Here is a 9,082-nt window from a genome sequence, read left to right as displayed (position 1 = left end):
ATTTCACTTTTACATAATCTTGGCAGCTGTTTTAGCCTTTTTTTGATAATAAGAGAGAAAATAAATAAGTAATTAAATAATAAAAAATAATAAAAATTAATTAATACATAAATTAATAAAAATTAAAATTTCTGGTTAATTTTTTTTTTTTTGAGAGGGAGTCTCACTCTGTCGCCCAGGCTGGAGGGCGGTGGATGATCTCGGCTCACTGCAAGGTCCACCTCCCGGGTTCATGCCATTCTCCTGCCTCAGCCTCACGAGTAGCTGGGACTATAGGCACCCGCCATCACGCCCGGCTAATTTTTTAAAATATTTTTAGTAGAGACGGGGTTTCACTGTGTTAGCCAGGATGGTCTCGATCTCCTGACCTTGTGATCTGCCTGCCTCGGCCTCCCAAAGTGCTGGGATTACAGGTGTGAGCCACCACGCCTAGCCATTTCTGGTTAATTTTAAATGAGGTTTCTAATTTATATTCATTGAATGAGAAAAAATATATTTTTAACCTGGAACCCTCTTAAAGAAATAAATTATTACTTATTTCTGGAGCTAGTCTGACTTACCTTGTGCTGATAACGTCTGTACTTAAGAACATACATGTGATGAATGCAATCAACACTCATGATTGTTTTCTAAACAAAGTACCTATTTTGATAGAATTGTAAGGAAAGAAATATTGCCAACAGAGTACACAGAATTATCTCTGGAATATTACTTTTTACTTTTAAAACTATCTCCTACAGTTGGGACATTTTGTATTATTCTCTGGAAGCATTATTAACTTTAGTATTTATAGTTGTTATACCTTGCATATAAATTGATTCAGCTCTAAAACTCAGGAATCCTTTTGACTTGATGTTTAAAATAAATTTCTTCTCTCTTCATGTCAGTATTGGGTCCTGATTGACAGGCATAGTGTATTTGAAGACATGTAAATCTTCAGCTTGCATAGTCATATGATTATTTTACTTGATCCTTTCTCTGATTTTTAACTATTATCTTTATGGCATAAGTAGGCAATTAGAGCTATTAGTATATAATTTACAGGAGAATCAGAAAACCATATGAACTTTAAAATAGGTTTTACATTTCTCTCTTATATTTTAGTAGCACTTAAAATGCCTTATAATTCTATAATAGAATAAACATTTGTGCAAGTTAAACTTTTAAGATGATTTTTTAAAAATGAGCTTTCTTAGGATACCTTGAATTACTGGTTTAGATAACTGTTTTCATTAAGTTCAAAAATGCAGATGACCATAATATTCCAGAAATAAATATCTGCATATATTAAGAAAATATATTTTATATCTTTTAATCCAGTATAGAAATATATAATTGAAATTTTGAATCCCATGTTTTGTTTTCTTTTTATTTTCAAAACTTCAGTGTTCTTCATAGGTTTAAATTATTGAATCCTACCAGTTTAGTATATGTTACAAATGTTGACCTTCTCAACAACGTATGGTTTTTTTTTGAGTAAGGTCATCTATTTCTACTCCAAATGTATTTACCCAGATCAGTCTTCTAAGTCCCCTTTGTGCCTCCAGTTTAATAGGTCTCAAACTGCCTTCCAGATTCTTTCCTGACTCTTTGTAATCTACTCTGTCATCTGGCTTCCCAATTTTAGTAAATAACACCAAGAAAGTAGCAATGAAACATTGAAGCAGAAAAAACTGCACTCCAGGTTTCCCTCACATTGCCAATCCAGTGACTCACCAAATTTTGTATTTTCTACCTTTAACCATTTCTCATATCTTATTACTGTAATACACTGTCTGCCCTATACTTTCGGAATGTTTGTTTTTGTTTCTCTCTTCTCCCCATGTTTATCTATCTATATATGTCTTTCAGGGTGACCTTTCTTAAACATGTTTACTTTTATCTAACTCATCTGCTTATGGCTGGACCCTCATTACACGAAAGAAACATTTACATTCTAGCATAACACTTATTTTGCGGTTTGGCCTGTTTCTCCCATTTTATCTCTCCACTCCACTTTCTCGGTCTGTGTCCAAGTTTTACCACGTTATTGTGGTATTTCTTATTGGCTATGCTGTTTCATGCTTTATTTTTTTGCACATGCTGCCCTCACTAGAAACACTTCACACTCTTACTCTTCACTTGTCTATTTTAAAAATAGAACCCTGAATTTGCAGTGTCTCAGAAGCTTCCCAAGTAGAAATAAGTGTTATTACCTTTGTGCTATCACTGTTTTTATTGACTTGAATTGTAGAAATAATGAATTGTGTCTTTCTGCTTTTGTTTGTTTTTATAAATTTCTTTTTTCACTTGATAAATAAATAAAATTAGTATTTTATTCATATTATCAGATTTTCCAGTATAGACCTTATGAATTTATAGACACAGAAAATGTTTCTTGAATTACTGACTGAGTAGTAAATATAACATTTTCTGAAGATTTCTTTTTTTTTTTTAAATAGGAATGAAAAGCACTACCAGCAACTGGACAAAAAGCAAATGGTATTGGTATTATAAAAAGTGCTTCATGAGAGCAATCAAATAATGATAATGTTATTTTTTGTGTACAAAAAAACAAAGGTGGTGAGGCAGTGAATATAGCTGAATAATTTTCTATGCTTTAATAATATAATTTTTGAAAATAAATATAACTAATTTAAATATAATTTAAAATAAATTTAAAATTAATTGTTAAATTACATTAAATTATAAGCCTAATTTTAATTAAATTGTAAATATAATTTATTAAATTTTAATAGTAAATATAATGTAATTTAAACATTCTTTTTCTTAAAACTTTGGTGAACACTTAAACTTGCAGATCAAAATATAATATTCATTGTTGAGAAATGGACATTAGTATATTTGCAAAAAAAAATGTGAGGTGGGATGGTGTAAATTAAGAAAGCAGCTGGCTAGGTAATTCGGAGGTTTCTGATGAGGAAACTCGAGGGAATTCACTTTATGTAGACTCAGTATATTCCCACTCAAAGAGAAGACTAAATTATTGCTGCTTTGGAGCTTACTGGAAGCAGAGGATAGAAGAACGACAGGAAACCACAGGAACTCATTTCTTCTCTCTATAGGGGTTACACATCAATGATATGTGCTTCATTCATGTTTGTTAGTGAACTGGGATGCACTTGGATATCAAAACATTGGCAGTTTTCTTTAAAAACAGTGCTGTTTTTGATGAAATAGCCATTGTATAAAAGTACCTCAGAGGCTGCTATGCTATTGCATATCAAACTGACTAGAAAAAAACAAACGAGAAATTTATTTCTTGAGTACTAAAAGTGTAACTGTCCATAATCATGGCAAATATTTTGATATGTAAAAGTTGATTAAGCCAAGCGCGGTGGCTCATGGCTGTAATCCCAGCACTTTGGGAGGCTGAGGTGGGAGGATCACAAGGTCAGGAGATGGAGACCATCCTGGCTAACATGGTGAAACCCCATCTCTACTAAAAATACAAAAAATTAGCCAGGCATGGTGGCGTGTGCCTGTAGTCCCAGCTACTAGGGAGCCTGAGGCAGGAGAATCACTTGAACCCCGGTGGCGGAGGTTGCTGTGAGCCGAGATTGTGCGCACTGCACTCCAGCCTAGGCAACAGAGCAAGACTCCATGTCAAAAAAAAAAAAAAAAAGAAAGTTGATCATTATGAAAAAAAAATCAATGATGATTCAGAGATTTTTGGTTACATTTTGTAAATGAAAATCTGAGTACTCATTAGTTATTTGATGTGTAATGCATACTTTTTTTGCATAAGTGAATGAAAAGATGGCAAGAGAACTTAAGTTGAGAATCCAGAAGTTGAAAATATCAGAAGTCTTCATGACTGTGGATAACATGAGTATTTTTAGAAACAATTTTTCTCCAAGTAGATATCTAAACTAATGATTGAGAGCACTTCCTGCAAGCAGAAGTGAATGATACATTTTCTTTTCTTTTCTTTTCTTTTCTTTTCTTTTGTTTTTTGAGACGGAGTCTCGCTCTGTCACCCAGGCTTGAGTGCAGTGGCGGGATCTCGGCTCACTGCAAACTCCACCTCCCGGGTTTACGGCATTATTTTCCCAAGGAAGACGGATTATGAGGCAGGAAGGTGGGAAAAGAGGAAGTCATTTACATAATTTTGGGGTTTCTGCTGAGGAAACCTGAGTGAACTCACTTTAGATGCATTTGGAATATTTGCATAAAAAATATTTGATTTTGGCAGCTCCAGGAACTACTGGAAGTGGGAAACAATGCTAGAATTGGGATAAAGCACACTGACTCATTACTCCTTTTTGTTACTATTAGGCATCAGAGATACATGTTTTGTTGATTTTAGTTAAAAAAATGAGATAAACTTGAATATGAATAGATTGGCTTCCTTGTTCAAGGAGCTACCTCTTGGATAAAATAGCTGTTTAATGAAACTTTTTTGGAGAATAACATGATACTCCGAAGAAGGCTATTTTAGAAACAAAAATTATGTTGAATTCTAATTAACTCCTAAAGTGATCATCTTCAATGAATATTGGAATGATTTCTGAATGTAAAACTCATTAATATCTAATGCTTGTAGCAGTTTTACTTTGTAGAAGTATGCCAAAATTGATAATTGATATTTTTCTTGAGGCTAATATATTATCCTTTGGTGCCATGAGTGGATGAAGAAACTTTCAGAATGCCAAACTAGTGGATACAAGAAACTTAAGCAAATTATTACACCACATGGGTGTGAGAGATAATGAATATTATCTGCTAGGTATCAGCAAAGAGATATCCAAGGTGATCAATTTAGGACACTTCCACTGAAGAGACGTGAACTGTATGTTCAACTGAAGTGTCATCATAATTGTGTGCCTTTTCAGTTATTGGGTAAGTTAAAGAGCATGACAAATGTTTGTAGTATAATGGTGTAAATCCTTCTGATTTCTTGCAAGAAAGACATGCGGGATCATGTACCACCTGCTTTGACATTGATTCTCAGGTGTGTGAGTTACTCCTCTGATTTGTCCTCGTCACTCGGCATATCCACATTGATACTGACACGGTTTTATTTTAGTTTTAGACGTATCACAAATCATATCATGTTTGAAATTGTAAGGGTATATTTTGTGAAGCCTGTGTTCCTTTTTTCTCAGTGTATTTCTGTCGTGTTCCAGTCTCCAGACAAAAAGTAGAAAACATCAAAGCCTACACTAGTACAGGCAAGAAGATACCAGCTTGATGCTAACACTGCATGAATGTATGGATAAATTTATCATATGTACATATGAGTGATTATCCCTTTTGCTTTTCAGTGTCTTCTCAGAAACAACCAGCTGAGAAGGTAATTAAAGTCTCATTTATATGTTGAACTATTAACTGTATAGTCTATGAAACCTACTTCATGTATCGATTACTTTGTTTCAAACCCCATTCAGGCTACCAGTGACGAGAAAGATTCTGTTTCGAATATAGCCACAGAAATAAAGGATGGACAACAATCTGGGACAGGTAATTTTGCAAAACACATTTAATGTCATGTTCAGTCAAAATAGAAAAGAACTTCTCTTCCCCGAATAAATCAGCCGGGGCGGGGGTGTGGCTCCTCGAAGCTGCATGTTCTGATTCAGCAGGCCTGAGATTCTTCATCTGTAATAAGTTCTTGGGTGACGTTAATGCTGCTGGTCTGGAACATGATCTTTGCAGTAAGATTATAGACTTCCCCACGTTGAAATTGGGAAGAAGAAATATGGAGAGCAGTTCAAGACATAAGGGGCTCAGGGAAAAGCATAATTTTGCTTTAACTCTACAGCATGGTTTCACTAAGAGTGGAAGGAGAAAGAGAGGAAGTATAGATTTTACAGACGTCACATCGTACTGCTAAAAAAAGACAGAAAACTGATCGTAATAACCCATAGACACTGTAGAATGAGAACTAAGGAGACCCCTGATGTAGCAATTATTTTCCCAAGGAAGACGGATCGTGAGGCAGGAAGGAGGGAAAAGAAGTTATTTATATAATTTTGGGGTTTCTGCTGAGGAAACCTGAGTGAACTCACTTCAGATGCATTTGGAATATTTGCCTAAAAAATATTTGATTTTGGCAGCTCCAGGAGCTACTGGAAGCAGGAAACAATGCTAGAATTGGGATAAAGCACAATGACTCATTACTCTTCTTTGTTACTAGGAGGCATCAGAGATACATGTTTTGTTGATTTTAGTAATAGAAATGAGACAAACTTGAATATGAATACATTGGCTTCCTTGTTCAAGGAGCTACCTCTTGGATAAAATAGCTATTTAATGAAACTTCTATAGAGAATAGTGTGATATTCCCAAACAAGACTATTTTAGAAACAAAAATTGTGTAGAATTCTAATGAACTCCTAAAGTGATCATTTTCAATGAACATTGGAGTGATTTCTGAATGAAAAACTTATTAATATCTAATGCTTGTAGCAGTTTTACTTTGTAGAAGTATGTCAAAATTGATAATTGATGATATTTTTCTTGAGGCTAATGTATTATCCTTTGGTGCCATGAGTGGATGAAGAAACTTTCAGGAGGCTAAACTAGTGGATAAAAGAAACTTAGGCACATTATTACACCAGATGGGTGTGAGAGATAATGAATGTTATCTACTAGGTATCAGCAAACAGATATCCAAGATTATCAATTTAGGACACTTCCACTGAAGTGATGTGAAGTGTACGTTCAACTGAAGTGTCATCGTAATTGTGTGCCTTCTCAGTTATTGGGCAAGTTAAAGAGCATGATGAATGTTTGTAGTATAATGGTGTAAATCCTTTTGATTTCTTGCGTGAAAGACATGTGGGATCATGTAGCACCTGCTTTGACATTGATTCTCAGGTGTATGAGTTGCTCCTCTGATTTTAAATCATGTTTGTCCTCATCATCGACATATCCACATTGATATTGACACGGTTTTTAGTTTTCGACATATGACAAATCATAACATGTTTGAAATTGTAAGGGTATATTTCATGGAGACAGTATTCCCTTTTATCAGTGTATTTCTGTCATGTTCCAGTCCCAAGACACAAAGTAGAAGACATCAGAGCCTACACCAGTACAGGCAGAAGGTTACAGCTTGATGCTAACACTGTGTGAATGTATGGATTACTTTATCATATTTATATATGAGTGATTATGTATCCCTTTTGTTTTTCAGTGTCTTCTCAGAAACCACCAGCCTTGAAGGTAATTAAACTCTCATTTATATTGTGAACTTTTAAATATATAGTCTTTGAAACATACTTCATTTATTTATTTATTATTTTCTTTCAAATTCCATTCAGGCTACAAGTGACGAGAAAGATTCTGTTTCGAATATAGCCACACAAATAAAGGATGGAGAAAAATCTGGGACAGGTAATTTGGCAAAACACGTTTAATGTCATGTTCAATCCACATAGAGAAGAACTTCTCTTCCCCGCATAAATCAGCGGGGGGAGGGGGTGGGGTGTGGGGTGGGGGCTCGCTGAAGCTGCACATTCTGATTGAGCAGGCCTGAGATTCTTCATTTGTAGTAAGTTCTTGGGTGACACTAAAGCTGCTGGTCTGGAACATGATCTTCGCAGTAAGACTACATTGAAATTGGTCTTACTTCCCCACATTGAGATTGGGAAGAAGAAATATGGAGAGCAGTTCAAGACATAAGGGGCTCTGGGGCACAACATAATTTTGCTTTAATTCTACAGCATAGTTTCACTAAGGCTGGAAGGAGAAAGAGAGGAAATATAGATTTTACAGATGTCACGTCGTACTGCTAAAAAAAAAGACAGAAAACTGATAGTAATAACCCGTAGACAGTGTAGAACGAGAACTAACAAGACCCCTGATGTAGCCATTATTATTAGGTATCTGGGCTTAATTCTCTGGGAAGCTATGTGGAACATGCCTCAGAATTACATCACTGAATCCAGGGAGATTCTTCTTAGTTACCCTCACCTTTTCTTCCCACTTCATGCCCAGTAACAAGCTCCCGTGCTGCTAGAGAAAGTCCTCAGCTAGAAACAGGTGCAAGTTCTGGAGATGAGACCTTGTAGAGTGTTAAGATTCCTTTTCTTCCCAGCAGCTACAAGTAAGGAATAGGGGCTGGGCTATTAATACATCTGCTACAAATCAATATACCCCTTATGCTCCTTTTGGTGATCAACAATGTATTTAAAAATATTAGATGATCAAGAAGGGCTGCAGAAAGGAGGAAACAGAAACAAACAGCACACCTCTTGGTTTATTTTTATTCATTTCATCAGTTTCAAGGAAAATGTGTTGGGAGTTCCTGGCATAGAGAATGTCACAAAGACATGTTTTCCATAGTGGTGCTATCCCTAGGGCAGAGAAGACCCAGAGAAAGCCCAAGTGGCTGCTGGAACAAAGTCAGACACCGTGCCACCTGTCCACACTCATTGGCTCTGTCATCATGCTGAAGATCGGTTGAAAGGACTGGCTTCCCTCCCCCCAAAATTAAAAGAGCACAAACTGAGAAACTGAATGTGGGAGACAGCAGTGGATTATGCTGTTCTCAGGGGTCACCTCAGGTTTGGAAGCATTCTTTCAAATTAACTCATCTCAGGACATCTGCAGAGAAGAAAGGTGGCACCTAACTTTTTTTCTTGTCAGCATTTGGTAGGGGTGTTTATTAACCAAATATGTTCCCACAACCTAGTTTTTTTGTAACTAAATATAGTAGATTTTTAAATTTTATCATCAAAATCTATAGACAATTTTTTATTAAAATAGACTCCACATCTATGTCCTGCTTTTCTTCTTCTTATTAATTACAGTGCTGTATAAAAGAACAAGACTTCAGAATCAAGAATATCTTGTCTCTTGGCATTGAATTTATACAAGGTGCTCTTTCTTTAATGCTGTCTCAAAGGACACATTTTTACTCATTAAAAAGGAAGATCGGAATCTAGTTGTATGCACTGCTCCAACATATTAATAATTAAAATTAGGAGGTAAATGTGGTCAAAGCTATAGAAAGACTTGAGATGTCATTTATATTGATTACTGTATAGCACTCTACAAACAGAAATTGTTAAATAATAGTTTATATAAATATTTTGTAGCATTTCAAATATTTTAGTGCCTGAAGTTTCTC

At 35.3% G+C, this 9,082-nt stretch overlaps 1 long non-coding RNA gene across 1 annotated transcript; it reads left to right on the top strand.

Moving 5' to 3' along the window:
- Window positions 1-5,399: 5,399 nt before the first annotated feature.
- Window positions 5,400-7,349, top strand: LOC105379544 (uncharacterized). Its single transcript, XR_001756145.1, has 3 exons — window positions 5,400-5,463; window positions 7,145-7,173; window positions 7,272-7,349. It is a non-coding gene; the product is annotated as an uncharacterized LOC105379544 (long non-coding RNA).
- The last annotated feature ends 1,733 nt before the right edge of the window (window positions 7,350-9,082 follow it).

Source organism: Homo sapiens, assembly GCF_000001405.40.
Source record: "Homo sapiens chromosome 16 unlocalized genomic scaffold, GRCh38.p14 Primary Assembly HSCHR16_RANDOM_CTG1".
NCBI classification, from domain to species: domain Eukaryota; kingdom Metazoa; phylum Chordata; class Mammalia; order Primates; family Hominidae; genus Homo; species Homo sapiens.
This window is presented reverse-complemented; position numbering and strand designations above follow the sequence as displayed.